The 21083-nt window shown below is 46.7% G+C and overlaps 1 long non-coding RNA gene across 1 annotated transcript, besides 2 other annotated features; it reads left to right on the forward strand.

Moving 5' to 3' along the window:
- Positions 740-1507: an enhancer, noted in NCBI's record as "NANOG-H3K27ac hESC enhancer chr3:129857063-129857830 (GRCh37/hg19 assembly coordinates)". NCBI's record gives its function as "activates a minimal SCP1, AML or CMV promoter by ChIP-STARR-seq in naive H9 embryonic stem cells {active_cell/tissue: H9 hESC(naive)}" and the evidence as "EXISTENCE:reporter gene assay evidence [ECO:0000049][PMID:30033119]".
- Positions 15580-16333: an enhancer, noted in NCBI's record as "NANOG-H3K27ac hESC enhancer chr3:129871903-129872656 (GRCh37/hg19 assembly coordinates)". NCBI's record gives its function as "activates a minimal SCP1, AML or CMV promoter by ChIP-STARR-seq in primed H9 embryonic stem cells {active_cell/tissue: H9 hESC(primed)}" and the evidence as "EXISTENCE:reporter gene assay evidence [ECO:0000049][PMID:30033119]".
- On the forward strand, positions 15694-18267 carry LOC107986131 (uncharacterized). The gene is made up of 2 exons (XR_001740905.2): positions 15694-16103; positions 17784-18267. It is a non-coding gene; the product is annotated as an uncharacterized LOC107986131 (long non-coding RNA).
- Positions 18268-21083: the final 2816 nt, after the last annotated feature.

The following is a 21083-nucleotide window of genomic DNA, read 5'->3' on the forward strand; positions in this document are numbered from 1 at the left end:
GGTGGTGCATGCCTGCAATCCCAGCTACTGGGGAGGCTGAGGCAAGAGAGTTGCTTGAACCCAGGAGGAGGAGGTGGCAGTGAGCTGAGATCATGACATTGCACTCCAGCCTGGGCAACAAGAGTGAAACTCCATCTAAAAAAAAAAAGGACGCTCTTTTTCATGCGCGTCCGTGTGAAGAGACCACAAAACAGGCTTTTTGTGAGCAATAAAGCTGTTTATTTCACCTGGGTGCAGGTGGGCTGAGTCCAAAAAGAGAGTCAGTGAAGGGAGATAGGGGTGGGGCCACTTTATAGGATTTGGGTAGGTAAAGGAAAAAGGGGGGTTCTCTGGCAGGTAGGTGTGGGGGTCACAAGGTGCTCAGTAGGGGAGCTTTTGAGCCAGGATGAGCAAGGAGAAGGAATTTCACAAGATGATGTCATCCTTTAAGGCAGGAACAGGACATTTTCATTTATTTTGTGGTGGAATGTCATCAATTAAGGCAGGAACCGGCCATCTGGATGTGTACATGCAGGTCACAAGGGATATGATGGCTTACCTTGGGCTCAGAGGCCTGACGTTCCTGTCTTCTTATATTAATAAGAAAAATAAAATGAAATAGTGGTAAAGTATTGGGATGGTGAAAATTTTTTGGGGGTGGTATGGAGAGATAATGGGCGATGTTTCTCAGGGCTGCTTCGAGCAGGATTGGGGTGGCATGGGAACCTAGAGTGGGAGAGATTAAGCTGAAAGAATATTTTGTGGTAAGGGGTGATATTGTGGGGTTGTTAGAAGAAACATTTGTCATTTAGAATTATTGGTGATGGCCTGGATACAGTTTTGTATGAATTGAAAAACTAAACGGAATAAGAGAAGGAGAAAAACAGGTATTAAAGGACTAAGAATTGGGAGGACCTAGGACATCTAATTAGAGTGCCTAAGGAGGTTCAGCATAACCTTGAGAGCAAAGATTATTTAAGAGTTAAGAGTGGTGGTTTGGGGATAGCACCAGGAGATATCAGCTGTGATGGCTTGGAGAAACAGTGTAAACCACCAGTGTAAACAAGAGCAGGGCATATATGAGTAGTTGAGAACGGTGAATAGGAGTATGACTAGGCAGAAGATAGTAGGGATGACAAGCTTTTTGGGGCACAGTCCAAGTTGGTCTTGTGTCTGGAATGAGACTGGGGCCTAATAAAAAGGAGCGTCTATACAGGAGATCCAATGGGTATCGGGGGACCTGCCCCGATAATCATGTAGGTTCTTTTCTATTTTCCTAAGCGTCGACTGGCTTCAGAAATAAAAGGACAGAGTACAAAAGAGAGAAATTTTAAAGCTGGGCGTCCGGGGGAGACAGCACACATTGGTAGGATCCGTGATTCCCCACAAGCCACAAAAACCAGCAAGTTTTTATTAGGGAGTTTCAAAAGTGGAGGGAGTATACGAATAGGTGTGGGTGACAGACATCAAGTACTTAACAAGGTAATAGAATATCACAAGGCAAGTGGAGACAGGGTGAGATCACAGGACCACAGGACCGAGGTGAAATTAAAATTGCTAATGAAGTTTTGGCACCATTGTCATTGATAACATCTTATAAGGAGACAGGGTTTTGAGATTAACCGGTCTGACCAAAGTTTATTAGGTGGGAATTTCCTCTTCCTAATAAGCCTGGGAGCGCTATGGGAGACTGGAGTTTATTTCACCTCTGCAATCTCAACCATAAGAGACAGGTACGCCCTGGGGGTGCCAGTTCAGAGACCTACCCCTAGGTGTGGATTCTCTTTCTCAGGGACGTTCCATGCTGAGAAAAGGAATTCAGCGATATTTCTCCCATTTGCTTTTGAAAGAAGAGAAATATGGCTCTGTTCTGCCCGGCTCACCAGCGGTCAGAGTTTAAGGTTATCTCTCTTATTCCCTGAACAATTGCTGTTATCCTGTTCTTTTTTCAGGATGCCCACATTTCATATTGCTCAAACACACATGCTGTACAATTTGTGTAGTTAACGCAATTATTACAGGGTCCTGAGACGATATACATCCTTCTCGGCTGACAGGATTAAGAGATTAAAGCAAAGACAGGCATAGGAAATCACAAGGATATTGACTGGGGAAGTGATAAGCGTCCATGAAATCTTTACAATTTATATTTGGAGATTGCAGTAAAGACAGGCATAAGAAATTACAAAAGTATTAATTGGGAACTAATAAATGTCCATAAAATCTTCACAATCCACGTTCTTCTGCCATGGCTTCAGCCGGTCCCTCCGTTTTGGGGTCCCTGACTTCCCGCAACAAATGGGCTGTACCTTGCAGCATTCCAAGGACAGGCCTGACTTCTGAGAAGGGAAAGTGGTAAAAGTATTGTCCAGTCCTTTTTCAGTTGGTGGCTGAGCTTGGTAAGGTGTGTTTTTAAAAGACCATTAGTCTGTTCTACCTTTCCTGAAGACTGAGGACTGTAAGGGATATAAAGGTTTCACTGAACACTAAGAGCCTGAAAAAATGCTTGACTGACTTGATTAATAAAGGCCGGTCTGCTATCAGACTGTATAGAGGTGGGAAGGCCAAACTGAGGAATTATGTCTGACAGAAGGGAAGAAATGACCGTGGTGGCCTTCTCAGACCCTGTGGGAAAGGCCTCTACCTATCCAGTGAAAGTGTCTACCTAGACCAAGAGTTATTTTGGTTTCCTGACTCAGGGCACGTTGAGTAAAGCTAATTTGGGAGTCCTGGGTGGGGGCAAATCCCTGAGCTTGATGTGTAGGGAAGGGAGGGGGCCTGAAGAATCCCTGAGGAGTAGTAGAATAGCAGATGGAACACTGAGAAGTTATTTCCTTGAGGATAGATTTCCACAATGGAAAGGAAACGAGAGGTTCTGAGAGGTGGGCTAGTGGCTTGTACTATAGCATAGCCTGCTTTTGCTGGTGTGTGACAATTAGGCCTGGTGGAACTGCCATCAATAAACTAAGTGTGGTCAGGGTGAGAAACAGGGAAGAAGGAAATGTGGGGAAATGGGGTGAATGTCAGGTGGATCAGAGAGATGCAGTCATGGGGGTCAGGTGTGGTATCAGGAATAATGTGGGAGGCCGGATTGAAGTCCGGGCCAGGAACAATGGTAATTGTGGGAGACTCAACAAAGAGTACAGCAGAAGGAGCTGGGGAGCAGAATGTATATGTGGCAGGTGTGAGGAAGAAAATACATTTTGGAAATTATGAGAGCTGTAGAGAGTGAGTTGAGCATAGTTTGTGATTTTAAGGGCCTTTAAAAGTATTAGGGTGGGAGCAGCTGCTGCACAGAGACATAACAGCCAACCTAAAACAATAAGGTCAAGTTGTTTGGACAAAAAGGCTACAGGACGTGATCCTGGTCCTTGTGTAAGAATTTCAACTGCACAGCGCTGCACTTCGGCTGTGTGTAATGAAAAGGGTTGGGATGAGTCACGGAGAGCTAGTGTAACAGGACGAGTTGCAGACAAAACTCCTCAGACACCGGATTAAAGAAGGAAGAGGTTTTTTTGTTCAGCCGGGAGCGTCGGCAGACTCGTGTCTTAAGAGCCGAGCTCCCGGAAAAAGAAATTCCTAGCCCTTTTAAGGGCTGACAACTCTAAGCGGTCTACGTGAAAAAGTCATAATAGATCAAGTAAGCGTGAGGAACGTGACTGGGGGCTACATACATCAGCTAACAGAATAAAAAGTTTTTACAATGCTTTCTCATACAATGTCTGGAATTTACAGATAACACCAGTAGTTTTGGTCAGGGGTTAATATTATTGATATTTTAACCACCAGGTCCAGGTGGTGGCACCAAGGTCGTCTAGCTATTTATTTTACTTCTGTTTTTTCCAACTTTTTGCTTTCTCCCTTTTTTGCTGTCTTACAAACTAGGGAAAAGGGGAGGTTGGGGAGAAACTGGGAAGGACAACCGGAGAAGTGGTGGTCTCATACCATATTTCCCCCTTTGAGCATTTTCACTTTTTAGTGGGAGTTCTCACTCTCATCTTTACTTTTTGAGTCTATTTGTGAGATAGAGCGATAGTGATTTATATAACACACGTGTGCTGAAGTTTTCTGATGAACTAAAGTAGCTACAAAACCTTTTATCATTTGAAAAAGCAAGGGTAATACACAGGGGAGCAGCAAGCAAGTTCCTATCACTAGCAATACACCTACAATGAGGGTTTTAAATCCTGCTATAGCTGGAAACCATTTTTCCAATAAAGACTCAGGATTAAACTCGTGCCAAACCTGTACAGGCACATGTGCCACCTTTGTCATGTCCCTGACTATGTTTTTAACCACCTGTCCTTGATCACTTATTTGTAGGCAGCAATTGGTTAAGTTAAATTTTCCACAAACTCCTCCTTCAGCTACTAGCAAGTAGTCTAAGGCCAGTCTATTCTGATAGATAGCATTCCTTATTTGGGTTTCTTGCCAAGCTAAAACAGTCAAAGCTCTGCCAGTTTCATTAGTAATTATTTCTAAGATGGCCTGCAACCGTATGATCCAATTGAGCATGTAGATGGGGGTTCGGTATCCCCATAAGCCGTCTTGTGCCCATGTGGCAGGCCCATAATACTGAATGATCCTTTCAGGGGGCCACTCATTATCTTTCCAGTTTCCTATAACTGTGCCTTTCTTTTCTCGGGAGGCGTAGACAGGGAAACCTAGGAGCTCACCCATTTTTATGGGTAATAAGAAAAAGGATGGCTTAATAGTGCCAATAACACAACTGCCTGCCCATTTATTAGGTAACCGAATGTAGGCTCTGTGCCTACATATCTAGTATAGTCCAGTGGGAACCGTCCAGTCCTGATGAGATTCTGGATGAGCCTAAGCATTTTTTAATTTAGAAAATTTACTAAATGGATTCTTTTCAGTGTGGTTTAGGCCCTACTAAGTAATTGTCTTTGTTGTGCTGTTATACAACTTCTGTCCTATACAATTAAGCTTTCCTACAGAGATGATAAAGTGTTTCCCTTCTCTAGCTATACAGTATTGTCTAATAATTGAGGTTTTTAGGACCTAGAAGTTGCTAGCTTCGGCCTTCTAACTGGAATTATATCAGGAGCTGGATCAGTAGGCACCAACTCTCGGGCTTCCCAAGGCCATCTGTCTCCGATAGTGGTTCCTCCGCATACATAACAAGAAGTAACATTAAGTAAGAAAATTACATTTTCTGCTAATTGGAGAAACACATTTTTTGTCTTTTTCAGAAGTTCTGGTGCTGGCAGATTCAGCTCCTCATAAAAGGTTTGAAATACTGGTTTGGGAGAGCACTTGTGGACCTCCCCTCTAATTAAAATGGCAACTTGAGGGTTTCACCCTGTCCTATTGATCCCCAGGGTTACACGTTCTCCCTTTTTCCAAAGGGGATCTAGGGGATTGGTAATTATTAGTTCTAGTGGGTTACAGTGACCAGCAGCACAGGAGGGGTTGGCTTCCCCCTTCTGAAGATAAACCGGGTCCTTTTTGTTCTTTTTTTAAGTAGCCTAAATAACACATGGCCAATAGGCACAATTTTTACAAACCCCTGACTCATGACAAACATATTTATTTTCTACTCTTTAGCTCCTTTCTCAGTTAAGAGAACCACATCCTATTTCTAGCTTTTTACTATTAATGGCTGCACAAGCATCAAATCTTAAAGTTATTTGCTTGGGGATTTCTTTTTCTTCTGTTCTAGTTATTATTTTACTTGTATCACCTAGGAAAAGGCCAGTTCTTATTCTTATTTCAAAAACGGTGGTTGCAGGGGGCTCAGATGGGTTATAACACACATCAGGTTGGTCATTTCTCGGGCTACATACCTTGTACTGAGTGGCATTATACAAACAAGTTTCTTTTATTGTTTCCATACATTCATAATAACTATAGAACAGAAAGATTGTTTTAATTTGCTGTCCTACTTCGGTGACCTGATGAATACACTGGGAACAGTCCCCAGTTTGAGTAAGATCAGTTGAAGCCCTTACTGTATAAGTCCAAAATTTAAGAAAAATGAATCCAACGATGAGCTTCCTCATGCTTCGGCCGTGCGTGGACCAGTCAGCTTCAGGGTGTGACTGGAGCAGGGCTTGTCGTCTTCTTCAGGGTCACTCTGCAAGGGTTGTCTGGGCTTGGTCTTGCCTCCCAGGTTTCAGGCGCTGCAGGTTTTACATGGCTGTGGTGGATCCAGGCTGGGATTCCTTCTACCTTCACAGCGGTGGGAGTGCTCAGAACGACAGTCTGGGGTCCTTTCCACAGTGGACACGAAGAGGCTCCGTTCCAGGTCTTGATCCACACTCGATCACCTGGGGAGAATGGGTGAACTGGGGAGAATAAGCTAACAGGGCATCTCTCATTTACCCAGGCTGAGATTGTTTGTGTCATTTTTCCTAAGGCCTGTAGCTGTCGCTGTAACTCAATTTCACCTAACTCTCAGGGAGTGCCTGGAAGTCCCCGCAATATAGGAGGGGGCCTATGATATAATATTTCATAAGGGGAATATCCTGTTCTTTTATAAGTGGTACATCTAATTTTAAATAATACCATAGGGAGAGCCTGTATCCATTTTAATCCTGTTTCCTGACATACTTTCCCTAAACTATTTTTGATAGTTTGATTCATTCACTCCACCTTTCTGGAACTCTGAGGCCAGTAGGCAGCATGCAGTTTCCATGTGATCCCTAATATCTTTGCCGCCTTCTGTACTAAGTCAGCCAAAAATGCCGGCCTGTTATCTGAGCTGATCCATAAGGGCAGTTCAAATCTAGGAATAAGATCTCGAAGAAGCACACGAGTTACTTTACAAGCTTTCTCAGTTCGTGTTGGATAAGCCTCCACCTACCCAGATTAGGTACGCCCAAGAACTAGTAAATACTTGTTACCTCTACACTTTGACATCTCTGTGAAGTCCACCTGGAGATCTTCAAAGGGGGTGCTCCATAAGCTTGTATGCCGGGTGGAATGGCTGGACTTTGCCTCGCATCATGCTGTCGGCAGGTAACACGCCGCTGCCTCACCGTTTTGGCAAGAGCTGACAAATGCGAGATGTAGAAATACCAGCCTAACAACTTTTCAAGTGATTCCTGACCTAGATGGGTGGTTTCATGCACAGCCAGTACAACTGCAGCTCCCAGCAGCTGTGGCACAGCTACTCTCCCATCCGGTAACCGAATCCATCCTTCCTCCATCACTTGTCCTCTCTCTGCCTGGAGAAAGTCCTTTTCATCTTTAGAATAAGTAGGTACAAGATCAGGTGCTTGAGGGAGCATGGGGGCTGTGACTGATGCCCGGAAGGGGGCAGATGCTGCTTTTCGAGCCTCTAAGTCAGCGCGGGAATTCCCTAAACCAACCAAGGTGGAAGCTCGCTGGTGTCCTCTGCAATGCATAACTGCCACCTTGTGGGGTCTCCATACGGCTTTTAATAATTGCAAGATTTCTTGTTGATATTTTATGTCTTTTCCCCCAGAGTTCATTAGGCCCTTTTCTTTATATAATGCTCCACGCACTTGAAGGGTTGAAAAGGCATATTAAGACTCAGTGTAAATGTTGACATTCTTAGCTTCACTGAGTTCTAAGGCCCGAATGAAAGCAGTGAGTTCAGCTTTCTGAGCTGAAGTGCCCTGGGGAAACGATCTGGCTTCAGCAACAGTGTCCAGAGTTACCACCGCATATCTTGCACATCTCTCTCCTTGTGGGTTGATGAAGCTGCTCCCAGCCACGTATAGTTCCTAGTCTACTGATGCCTAAGGCTGGTCCTGGAGGTTAGGTCTGCTAGAGTAAACTGAGTCCAACACTTCTACACAGTCACGCTCGACAGGGCTCTCTGATACTGGGAGCAAGGTAGTGGGGTTCAGGGTGTTACAAACTTCAATGGTTATACGGGGATTTTCACAGAGCAAACTTTAGTACTTAGTGAGTCTAGCATTCATTAGCCAATGATGTCCTTTAGTATTCATTAAAGTCACCACAGCATGGGGGGCCTTTATGTTCAGGTTTTCTTCAAGAGTCAGCTTATCTGCTTCTTGTACTAGCAGGGCAGTTGCTGCCAAGGCCCTTAAACACAGGGGCCATCCTTTAGAAACCCCGTCTAGTTGTTTAGAGAGGAAGGCCACCGGCCTCGGCCAGAGACCCATAGTTGGGATTAAAACTCCAACTGCCATCTTTTCTCTCTCTGACACATACGATGGAAAAGGCTTTGTTAGATCGGGTAGCCCCAGGGCTGGGGCTGATATAAATCTTTCCTTTATCTCATGAAAGGCTTGCTGTTGCTGGGATCCCCATTCAAAAAGTCCCACCCCCCCCCTCCTTGTGACCTCATACAAAGGCTTGGCTAATACTGCAAAGTTTGGGATCTACAGTCTGCAAAACCCCACAGCCCATAAGAATTCTCTCACCTGCCTTCTGGTCTTAGGCTCCGGTAGATTTCAAATGACCTGCTTTCTTTCTGATCCTAGGCTGCTCTCCCCCTTTCGGATAGTAAATCCCAAGTAATGTACCTGCTGTCAGCAGATCTAAGCTTTTTTCTTGGACATCTTATACCCACAGTCCTCCAGGTGCCGGAGTAGAGCATCTGTTCCTTTGGTGCACCCGGCTGCCGTGGAGTGTCCCAGCAAAAGGTCATCAACGTACTGAAGCAACACGCAGTCTAGGTCTCTGGTGGGAAACTTCTGGAGGTTTCGAGGCAATGCCTCCCCGAAGATGGTGGGGGAGTTCTTGAACCCTTGGGGAAGCCCGGTCCAAGTGTACTGAGTAGTGACACCTGACTCCAGATCTTCCCACTGAAAGGCAAACAGCTTCTGGCTCTCAGGGGCTAATCTGATGCTAAAGAAAGCATCTTTCAGGTCCAAGCAGGTGAAGCAGCTGTCCTCAGCTGGCAGCAACCCCAGCAAAGTGTACGGGTTAAGTACTGCTGGATGTAAAGTCACTGTAGCCTGATTCACCAAGTGCAAATCCTGTACCGGCCAGTAGTCCTTGGTCTTAGGCTTGGGAACAGGCAGGAGGGGAGTGTTCCATGGAGACTGACAAGGAACTCTAATTCCAAAAGTTCTTAGGTGCTTGAGATGGACCTGGATACCTTCAAGAGCTTCTCTGGGGACCGGCTCCTGTTTTTGCCTAATCGGCTGGGCCCTAGGCTTAACGTCTATAAGTACGGGGGCTTGGTTGCAAACCCTGGAGGGTTGTCTTCCACCCACACTCTTGGCCACAGCTTAGCCAGAGCTGGTCTTATCTCTTGGCCCCACTCAGTTAAGAAAAGTCTCCATTCTTCCTCTCGGGGGACCGTAAGGGTCATAATGACTCCCATTCTGGGTAACTTTAGCAGCAAAGAGCCATGCTCTGTAAAAGAGATAGTGGCTCTCAGTTTGCTAAGCAAGTCCCTTCCCAACAAGCACAAGGGACAGTCAGGTGTGTACAAAAACTGATGAATCACTTTATGTCCTCCTACAGCACAAGTCCGAGGCAAGCAGAAAGCTTGCTTTGCTGAAACTCCCGTGGCTCCGATGATGTCAATAATCTTTTTGGATAAGGGGGCGACCGGGGCGGTTACTACCGAATGTTTAGCACCGGTATCTACAAGAAAATCAATGTCTTTACCCCTAACTGTCATCCTGACCATGGGCTCTTTGGGGGTCCTTGAGCCCAGTCCCCCTCAGTCCAATAACCCTTCTGCCAGGTTGAGCAGGGCCCCTTCATCCTTGTCCGGGGCCTCCTGCTCTGAGTCACCTGGTTTTCTTTTTAGCTGAGGGTATTTGTTTTTCCATTGTCCTATTTCTTAACAATAAGCACACTGATTACGCTGCAAGCTCTGAGAGCCAGGCTGAGTTTCCTTCCCGGGGCCCCCCTTCCCTTGCCTCTTTGGGGGACCCCTTTGATTGCTGTCGCTAACAGGTCAGTGTTTCGCTGGGCCTGAGGTTCATTGTCTCTGTGGTTTTCCTTACGGCTTACTGCATCCCTGCATCCCTATTTACAAACACCTGGTTAGCTATTTCAAATAACTGTGATGTGTTCATCCCTGCAAACTCAGCCTGTTTCTGCAGTTTTCTTCTAATGTCTTCTGCGCTTTGACTAACTAAAGCCATGTTAATCATGCCTTGATTTTCAGGGCTATCAGGATCAAAGGGAGTATACACACCATAGGCCTCACACAGTCTCTCCTAATTGTGCTGGACTTTCTTCTTTTCTCTGAATGACCTCAGAGACTTTGTTAACATTTGTGGTCTTCTGGGCTCCCCTCTTTAATCCTTCCAAGAGAGCTTCCCTGTCTCTGTTTAGCCTTTGCATATCCTCTCTTTCATGTGGGTCCCACTGGGGATCAGTTCCTGGTAACTGGGTGCTTACATACTCTTGAGGGTTTTGGTAATCAGCTGGTGCATGTTCCTCTAGCCACTTAGTTGCTTCTTGGCGCACTCTCCGCCTTTCATCTGTGTTAAAGAGGAACATGAGCAACTGGTGGCAATCAGCCCAGGTGGGGTTATGGGTCTGGATAATAGTTTGGAGCAAATCAATCAGAGCTTGTGGCTTTTCGGTACAGGATGGGGTATTGTTTTTCCAGTTGAGAAGGTGGGCAGAGGTGAAGGGCTGGTACCCAAAAACACGCCTCCCCACCACGTGACCATCCTCATCTATCCCAGTATACCGCTGCTCTCTCAGGGGCATTTGTGTCCCCGTTTTGGGTCTTAAATGAGCTACCAAGGGAGGGGTTTCTCCCGAGTCCTCACCTCCTCTCTTGTCTACTCTGGGTGGCCTAGGGAAATGTTTGTCTTGTGGAGGCGCAAGCACTGTGGACTCAAAAGTGGGGAGCCTGCCTCCCTGGTAAGGAGAGGGCACCACTGGGATCACTGGTGCCATCTCCTGCAATGGATCTTCTGATGTTGGGTCGAACAGAACTTCAGGAGTTGATTTCCCTCGGCGGGTGGAGCGGGATCCTTCCTTGGCTATCTGTCACTTTGCTACTAGCACTGCTGCTGCCTGCCCTCTTAGCCACTGTGGGGGTTTTAGCATCAGCTGTAACCAAGTGTCTATGTATGGGAACGGGTCTGGGTGTCCTGACTTACTAGTTACCTTGTGCCATACCTTAGAAACAAGGGACCTGTCCAGGCTTCCTTCTGATGGCCACCCTACTTCTAATGTTGGCCAATCTATTTCACACAAAGTTCTAAGTTCCCCAAAGTCTCCATTAAATCCTTTCTTAAAATTTTTCAACATACTTCCTAGTGGAGTAGGCTTACTTTGCATCTGACCCACGTTTCCTCGAGACAAAACACCAAGCTCAAACCACAGGCACACCACAGAACAAAGAATGGGTAAAAAGGGCACACACACACTTTTTCAGTTTTCACCAAACCAGAATCAAAACCAAAATCAGAGTATCCAGAAATCCAAGCCAGGTCAAACCAAAACCAAAGTATCAAGCAATTCAAGTCAAGTCAAAAACAAAAACCAAAGTGCCAGTACAGGCACGCCGTGGGTGATCAGGCCACGCTTCCACTCAAATGGAGTGGGCAAGTTCCAAAGATCAGTCTTACCAAGTTTCAAATGTCCGGACTCCAAGTGCCTCTTCCTTCCCTGTGTTCAGCCACTGTGTTGATCCTCCATGGGGGCCTACCACACACTCCTCTGATGAGGCATTCCTCTGGGGCAATTGCCTACCCGGGAGAGCTCTCAGGATCCGTGTCGCTCAAGCTGGCCGGAGTCCCCCGCAGGGATGCTCCACAGGGCAGGCCTAAGCCACCTAACGGGCTGCCTCGACTTTCCGTCAATTACCTCGCTTCCCAGTCAGGGAACCAAGACTAGGGTGGGGGCAGTCTTTAAAGCTGTCTTCAAGGAACAGAAAGAGGGTGGGGAAAGGATTTAGGATCTATGGGGTCAGCTAGGTTTCCTTTTGTGAGGTTATATAATGGTTTTGTTAGGATGGCAAAACCAGATATCTAAAGATGAACGTATCCAACCATGCCCAGGAAGGAAAGGAGTTGTTGTTTTGTAGAAGGGGTTGGGGTTTTAGAGATTAGTCACACACGATCGGCAGGGAGAGCACGTGTGTTTTTATGAGAATTATGCTGAGATAGATAACACATAAGGAAGAAATTTGGGCTTGACTGAAGTAATGGGGGCTGTCTGTGAAGCTTTGCAGCAGTACAGCCCAGGTAATTTGCTGAGCCTGATGGGTGTCAGGGTCAGTCCAAGTGAAAGCAAAGAATGGCTGGGATGAAGGGTGCAAAGGAATAGTAAAGAAAGCATGTTTGAGATCCAGAACAGAATAATGGGTTGTGGAGGGAGGAATTGAGGATAGGAGAGTATATGTGTTTGTTACCGTGGGGTGGATAGGCAAAACAATTTGGTTGATAAGTCATAGATCCTGAACTAACTTGTAAGGCTTGTCTGGTTTTAAGACAGGTAAGATGGGGGAATTGTAAGGAGAGTTTATAGGCTTTAAAAGGCCATGCTGTGGCAGGTGAGTGATAACAGGCTTTAATCCTTTCAAAGCATGCTGTGGGATGAGATATTGGCATTGAGCGGGGTAAGGGTGATTAGGTTTTAATGAGATGGTAAGGGGTGCATGATAGGTTGCCAAGGAGGGAGTAGAGGTATCTTCTACTTGTGGGTTAAGGTGGGTGGCAATGAGATGTATCTGTAGTCTGGGAATAGTCAGGGAAGCAGATAATTTAGTTGAAGTGTCTCGGCCTAATAAGGGAACTGGGCAGGTGGGGATAACTAAAAAGGACTGCTTAAAAGAGTATTGTCTAAGTTGGCACCAGAGTTGGGGAGTTTTAAGAGGTTTAGAAGCCTGGCTGTCAATACCCACAACAGTTATGGAGGCAAGGGAAACAGGCCCTTGAAAAGAAGGTAATGTGGATTGGGTAGCCTCTGTATTGATTAAGAAGGGGATGGACTTACACTCCACTGTGAGAGTAACCTAGAGTGTCTGTGATGGTCCTGTAGGCTTCCAAGGCGATCGATCGGGCAGTGTCGGTCTGCAGCTGCTAAGCCAAGAAGATCTGGAAAGGAGTCAGTCAGAGAGCCTTGGGCTCTGGGAGTGGTGCCAGGTGAGTTGAACAGTCCGATTTCTAGTGGGGTCCCACACATATGGGACATGGCTTAGGAGGAATCCCAGGTTGTGGGCATTCCTTGGTCTGGTGGCCAGATTTCTGGCACTTGTAGCAAGCTTCTGGGAGAGGAGGTTCTGGAGGAATGCCTGGCCACTGCACTTTAGGCGTTTGGAAGCTCTTGTGTGCTGGAGATGTGGCTGGGGTTTGTCTCACAGTGGAGGCAAGGAATTGCAACTGAGAAATATGTTGCTACTTGGCTGCCTCTACTCTCTTATTGTACACCTTGAAGGCGAGGTTAATTAAGTCCTGTTGTGGGGTTTGAGGGCCGGAATTTAATTTTTGGAGTTCTATTTAATGTCGGGAGCAGATTGAGTAATAAAATGTATATTGAGAATAAGACGGCCTTTTGACCTCTTAGGGCCTAGGGCTGTAAAGCATCTCAGGGTTGCTGCCAAACGAGCCATGAACTGGGGTGGATTTTTATATTTGATGAAAAAGAGCCTAAACCTTATCTGATTTGGGATAAAGAAAAAGGAGCATTAACCTTGACTATGCCTTTAGCTCCAGCCACCTTTTTAAGAGTAAATTGCTGGGCAGGTTGGGGAGGGCTAGTCATGGAATGAAACTGTAAGCCAGACCCAGTGTAAGGAGGGGAGGTGATAAAAGGATTATAGGGTGGAGGAGCAGAGGCTGAGGAAGAATTGGGACCTAGCTCAGCCTGGCAAGGAGGGGAGAGGTCAGATGGGTCTGTAGAAAAGGAAGATTAGAAAGACTCAGCAACACTTGGGGTTGGGACTGAGGGGACAGGTGGGAGGGAAAGAAAGAAGATTTGGGATGAGTTGCATTGGGAACAGAGACTAGGGAGGGACCGAAGTGTAATAGAATGCCTGGACATCAGGGACCTGAGGCCATTTGCCCATCTTATGGCAAGAATTATCTAGATCTTGTAGGATGGAAAAATTGAAAGTGCCATTTTCTGGCTATTTGAAACCACTCTTGAGTTTGTATTGGGGTCAAGCGGCATTGTAGAAGAAAATAAGGCATTTAGGTTTTAGGTCAGGTGTGAGTTGAAGAGGTTTTAGGTTTTGAAGAACACTGGCTAAGGGAGAAGAAAGGGGAATGGAGGGTGGAATCTTGCCCATAGTGAAGGAGGCAAGCCTAGAGAAAAGAGAGAGTAGAGACACAAAGAGAAGGGGTGGGGCATTCTTGCCTTCCAGAAAAGCAGGAAATGGGTTGGGGCACAGAAATAAAGGGTTGGGGTGCAGAGATAGGAGGTCAGGTTGTGGAAATAAGGGATCAGAGCACAGAGATAAGAGGGCAGGGCATGGAAATAAGGGATCGGGGTGCAGAGATAAGAGGGCGGGGTTCCTGTGCCTCCCCCAGAAAAGCGGGACTTGCCGCTAAGGGTGAAGGACCAAGGCAGGCATCCCTGTGTGGTCTGACACCTCTGAAACCTGGGTGAATAATCAGAGAGGCGTCCCTGCAATGATTAAACACCAAGGGAAGGCTGCCTTCCCTAGTCCGTGACCAGCACTGGAGTTTTGGGTCCATGGATAAAACGTGTCTCCTTGGTCTGTACCGGAAAATGAAAGGAATTGAAATTAAGAGAAGGGAGAGATTGAAGTGTGGTGCCAAGATTGAAAGGAGAAAGATGTTGAAGGATAGTGAGGGAGGTTGGAGAAGAGAGTAAAAAGAAGCTGCTTCCCAGATTTGAAATTGGTGAGATGTTTCTTGGGCTGGTCAGTCTGAGGACCTGAGGTCGTAGGTGGATCTTTCTCACACAGCAAAGAGCAGGAGGACAGGGGATTGATCTCCCAAGGGAGGTCCCCCAATCTGAGCCACGGCACCAAATTTCACATGCATTTGTGTGAAGAGACCACCAAACAGGCTTTGTGTGAGCAATAAACCTGTTTATTTCACCTGGGTTCAGGTGGGCTGAGTCCAAAAAGAGAGTCAGTGAAGGGAGATGGGGTGGGGCCATTTTATAGGATTTGGGTAGGTAAAGGAAAAAGGGGGGTTGTTCTCTGGCAGGCAGGAGTGGGGGTCACAAGGTGCTCAGTAGGGGAGCTTTTGAACCAGGATGAGCAAGGATAAGGAATTTCACAAGATAATGTCATCAGTTAAGGCAGGAACCGGCCATCTGGATGTGTACATGCAGGTCACAGGGGATATGATGGCTTAGCTTGGGCTCAGAGGCCTGACACTCTTACTCCAGAGGAGGAGACCCAGACAGAAGAGGAGGAGGCAAGGTGATCACAGAGGCAGAGATTGGATCATGCAGCCACAAGTTGAGGAATTCTAGTAGCCTCTATAAGCTGGAAGACGCAAGGAATGGATTCTCCCCTAGAACCTCTGAAAGGAGCATGCTCCTGCTGACCTTTGATTGATTTTGGACTTCTGGCCTCCAGACAATATTTTTTTTTTTTTTTTTTTTTTAGAAAGAGGCATGCTCTGTTGCCCAGTCTGGAGTGCAGTGGCACGATCTTAGTTCACTGCAACCTCCACCTCCCAGGCTCAAGCCATTCTCTTGCTTCAGCCTCCCAAGAAGTGGGGACTACAGGTGCCTGCCACCATGCATGGCTAATTTTTGTATTTTTAGTAGAGACAAGGTTTTGCCATATTGGCCAGGCTGGTCTCGAATTCCTGGCCTCAAGTGATCCACCCACCTCAGCTTCCCAAAGTCCTGAGATTATTTAGGTGTGAGCCACAGCACCCGGCCCAGACATTGTTTGAAGCCACCCATTTCATGGTTCTTTGCTGCAGTGGTTGTGGAATATGAATGCACTCGTGCTGTTGGTTAGACTTTGCTGACCTTGTGTCTGTTATTCCCTGGCAGTTCTACAAGGCCTGGAGCAGATACGAAAAACCTCCCTTCTTTGCCAAATGGTCCCCAGCTTCCCCATTCACTGAAGGCCCTGCGGTCAGGAACAGTCAGGACTTTGCACCCAGTTGTTGTGAGTGTTGGCCGACCCTTCCTCTTGTGTGATTCATGGACCCTTAGCATTGCATCACCTGGGAGCTTTTGGAATTGAAGACTCTCAGCGCTCACCGGAAGGACCTCCTGGGCCAGAATCTGCATTTTAACAAGATGCCCAGGTGATTTGCATACACGTTCAGATCTGAGAAGCGCTAGTAGGAGAAGCTTTAATGTGGTAATTAGATCTTTTCTCCACCTGCAGGAATCTTAGTTTCTTCATGTTAAATCTATTAACTGTGGCAATGGTATGGGGGTTATAAAACAAAACAAAACCCTTACATCAAGAATGCACCCGGGTGTGTTATGGATGTGGGTGAAATGAAATGTCTGGAATTTGCTTTAAAATATCCTAAAATAGCAAGAAGGAAAAGAAAAGTGGGAACTGGAATGAGATTGGAGAAATGTTGACAAGTTCTTGCAGTGGGATGATGGGTGCATGGGGGTTCATGGTATAATTCTCTCCCTGCTTTTTGTGTATATGGGAAATTTCCATAATGAAAAGTTAGAGGTCGGGCACGGTGGCTCATGCCTGTAATCTCAGCATTTTGGGAGGCTGAGGTGGGTAGAGTGCTTGAACCTAGGAGTTCAAGACCATCCTGGACAACGTGGTGAAACCCCATCTCTACTAAAAATGCAAAAATTAGGCATGGTGACAACATGCCTGTAGTCATGTTGAGGCACAAGGTTGAGACATGAGAATCACTTGAACCCAGGAGGCGGAGGTGGCAGTGAGCCAGGATCGCACCATTTCACTCCAGCCTGGGTGACAGAGTGAGACTTGGTCTCAAAAAATTTTTTAATTTTCTTTTTTTTGAGATGGAGTCTTGCTGTTTTGCCCAGGCTGGAGTGTAGTGGTGTGATCTTGGCTCACTGCAAGCTCCATCTCCCGAGGTCACTCCATTCTTCTGCCTCAGCCTCCAGAGTAGCTGGGACTATAGGCACCCAGCACCATGTCCGGCTAATTGTTTGTATTTTTAGTAGAGATGGGGTTTCACCGTGTTAGCCAGGATGGTCTCAATCTCCTCACCTCGTGATCTGCCCACCTTGGCCTCCCAAAGTGCTGGGATTGCAGCCATGAGCCATCGTGCCCGGCCTTAATTTTGTTTAATTTTTTTCTTTTTTGAGACAGGATCTGTAGCCCAGGCTGGAGTGCAGTGGTACGATCCCAGCTCACTGCAGCCTCTACCTCCTGGGTTCAAGCGATCCTCCCACCTCAGCCTCCCGAGTAGCTGAGACCACAGGCATGTATCACCACACCTGGCTAATTTTTTCCCTTTTTCTAGAGGCAAGGTCTTGCTATTTTGCCCAGGCTGGTCTTGAACTCCTGAGTTCAAGCAATCTTCCCATCTCAGCCTGGGAGTAATCCCAAAGTGCTGGGATTACAGGTGCGAGTCACTCTACCCAGCCTCAACTGTTTTTCATGACTCCACTTTTTCTCCCCTCTTGGAAATGAGTAGTCTTTGAGGGAGTGTCTTTTTTGTCTCAATCTCTGGTTTCTTTGCTCAGTGCACCTGTGTTTGGGGCTTTGTTGATCTCCAGGCCTTTTTCAGCAGCGTTGTCCCTGGAGAGCAGGATGGGAGCTGATGGCTTCTCAGCATCTTTTAACTCAGTTTAAAGATGACTATCAACAACATCTAGTCAGCATCTGTTGCTCTCGGCAGCTGGGACTTCATTTCTTTTCTCTTTCTCCACCTCTCTAACCTCTTTAAGACTCTGCTTTGTCATGGGTACAGCATCACCTGTGTGGCCCTTAGGCTCTCTTACTTACATGTGATCTGCGTATTATGTCTTTACTTCAGGGCTTCTCAACCAGGGGGTGATTTTGCCCCCAAGAGAACATGTGGCCATGTCTGGAGACAATTTTGGTTGTTGCAGCTGGAGGAGGTGGTGCTACTGGCAGCTAATAGGTAGAGGCCACGGATGCTGCTAAACATCCTACAATGCTCCGGACAACTCCCACTAAGACAAAAGAATGATCCAGCCCCAAATGTCAATAGTGCTGAAAGTGAGAGACCCTGATTCCATCTTAGAGATCATCCAAGCACACTTGGCCAAATAGTTTTTGCTACTATCCCATGAAGAAAAGGCAGACTCATGACTGATGGCAACGTCGATGGGAATTTTGTTTACTTCTTCTTTGTGGACTTTGGGATACGATGACTTACCATTTGTGCAAGTTGTGCATTGCATACCTCCAGGGGGCGCCACCCACATATTTATGAAAATGCCACCCCAGGAATTGCACAGTACATAGTCTACATGGCAATAAACAGTTGCTCTGGTTTTGGGGTTGTCCTGGGTTGCTCTGGAACTGGGAGGAACTTTATTTCTGGCCATTAGAGGCCCTGAGCATGACATTGAGTATCCTTTCAAGAAAGGAGAAATGTTGAACAGAGAGGACCTCATTTTTATAACTCTTGACCATCATCTAGTTACGCAGCATCCACTTTTCACCCCTGGGCCATATCCATTTGACGGATGAAAAATCATCAAATTATAATATCATGGCTTTTACTTTTGATAGCTTCTGCCCGGAACATGGCGGTAACAGCTTCTCATTTTCAATTGATTCATTGGGGGAGAAAATATACACGACTGCCCTAAGACTTTCTATTACATACCATTTGTTTGACGGGATTTCTTTAGTTTCTGTAGCATAACTTATTCTAACTGGTCCTCAATCACTTTGCAATAAAACCTGAGATTGTGAAGATGTTCACTGTCATTACCAGTGACGGAGCAGTAAGTACAGAGTTCTGGAGAGGGAAGGAATCGAGAGAGTTAAACTAGCAGAATGAGCCGCTCACCCTCAGCATTGCTTTTAATCTTGGTGAGAACTGAGGGGAATTTTGACAGGGTTCAGGGGGACTGCGGGGAGTGGGGCTGGGAAGTGGCTGTTTGCACGTGTGGTCAGCAAATCCAGTGAGGGGGTCCATGTACTGTAGGCAGCCCCGCAGATGGAGTTGGGATTGCCCTAGACTGAGTACTGGGTCATCAGTACTCAAGACATCAAGGCCCAGGCTGGTGCAGGAGATACATTGCACTGCTTCAGCCTTTCTTCTATCGCTCCTCTCCAATGACAGTCCCCGATTTTCCACCGAGGAGTCACTAGTTCCCCACGACATGTGTGCGACTGGCCATTCCCCACCCTGATCTGGAGCTGGGGCATGTGGTCCCAGCCTGGATGTCAGTATCCTTCCACCACCCTGGCCACAGTGATTGGGTCTGAGAAGCAGATTAGCCAAAGGAGAAACAATCTTGGAAATTTCATGTTCATGCTTAAGAAAGTAAAATGGAAAGCGGGGGGAGGGTGAGGGGTCATTCTGATGATATAGTTTTAGGACCTGGATGTAGCCATACCTGTAGCTGTCAACTCTGTGCCATAGTACTGCTTTTTTTTTTTTTTTTCCTTCAAATTTAAATACTTTCTAAAGGCAAGGTCTTGCTATGTTGCTTAGGCTGGTTTTGAAAAGTCCCTTTGGGGGGATGCTTTCACTGCTTCACTTCCTTTCTATGACAGCTCAGGGAATCAGAAGACAAGCGAGATGATTTTTTTTGTTTGTTTGTTTGAGACAGGGCTTGCTCTGTTGCCCAGGCTGGAGTGCAATGGTGCAATCACAGCTCGCCACAGCCTTGATCTTCTGGACTCAAGCGACCCTCCTGCTTCAGCCTCCTGAGTAGCTGGGACTGTAGGTGGGTACCAACATGCCCAGCTAACTAAATTTTTTTTTTTTTTAGAAGTGAGATCTCACTATGTCACCCAGGCTGGCCTCAAACTCCTGGGCTCAAGTGATCGCCCTGCCTTAGCTTCCCAAACAGACAGGTGTGAGCCCCCACACCAGTCAACGCTGTGGTTTTATGCACCTGGTGTCCCCCTACGCCCTGAGAAATGGTCCTCCTGCTTCAACCTCCCAAAGTGCTGGGATAACAGATGTGAAGCAGCATGTGTGGCCCACATAGTATTCTTATGGGTTAAATTGAGTCCTCCTCAAAACATGTTGAAATCCTAAATTCTAGTAGCTCAGAATGTGACCTTATTTAGAAATAGAGTTATTGCAGGCCAGGCGTGGTGGCTCATGCCTGTAATCCCAGCACTTCGGGAGGCCAAGGCGGGAGGATCACCTGAGGTCAGGAGTTTGAGACCAGCCTGACCAACATGGAGAAACCCCTTCTCTACTAAAAATTCAAAATTACCTGGGTGTGGTGGCGCATATCTGTAATCCCAGCTACTCGGGAGGCTGAGGCAGGAGAATTGCTTGAACTCAGGAGATGGAGGTTGCATTGAGCTGAGATCGCGCCATTGCACTCCAGCCTGGGCAACAAGAGTGAAACTCCGTCTCAAAAAAGAAAGAAAGAAAGAGAGAGAGAGAGAAGAAAAGAAAAGAAAAGAAAGAAAGAAATAGGGTTATTGCAGATGCTATTGATTAGGATGAAGTCATCCTGGAGTAGGGAGGGCCTAAGTCAATGACTGGTGTCCTTATAAAAGAGGAGAGGACACGCCGAGTCACAGAGACACAGGGAAGAAGGCCATGGATTGGATGGAAGATTGGACTGATGCGTATGCAAACCAAGAAACACTGAAGACTGCCAGGAGACCACAGGAAGCTAGGAAGAGGCAAGGCAGGACTCCCCGACAAGTGCAGGAGGGAGCGTGGCCCTGGTGGCACCTCCGTTTGAGACTGCTGGCCACCAGAGCCACAAGACAATCAATTTCTCTGGTTTCAAGTCACCCAGCTTTTGGTATTTGGTTGTGACAGCCCTAGGGAATGAATATAAGTACTTTCTCTTTTTTTTCTTTTTTTGAGATGGAGTCTCGCTCTGTTGCCCAGGCTGGAGTGCATGGCGAGATCTCGGCTCACTGCAGGCTCCGCCTCCTGGGTTCATGCCATTCTCCTGCCTCAGCCTCCTGAGTAGCTGGGACTACAGGCGCCGGCCACCACGCCCAGCTAATTTTTTGTATTTTTAGTAGAGACAAGATTTCACCGTGTTAGCCAGGATGGTCTCCATCTCCTGACCTCATGATCTGCCTGCCTCAGCCTCCCAAAGTGCTGGGATTACAGGCATGAGCCACCATGCCCGGCCGAATATAAGTACTTTTA

The sequence above is a fragment of the Homo sapiens genome, chromosome 3 (genome assembly GCF_000001405.40).
Source record: "Homo sapiens chromosome 3, GRCh38.p14 Primary Assembly".
In the NCBI taxonomy this organism is placed as follows: Eukaryota; Metazoa; Chordata; class Mammalia; order Primates; family Hominidae; genus Homo; species Homo sapiens.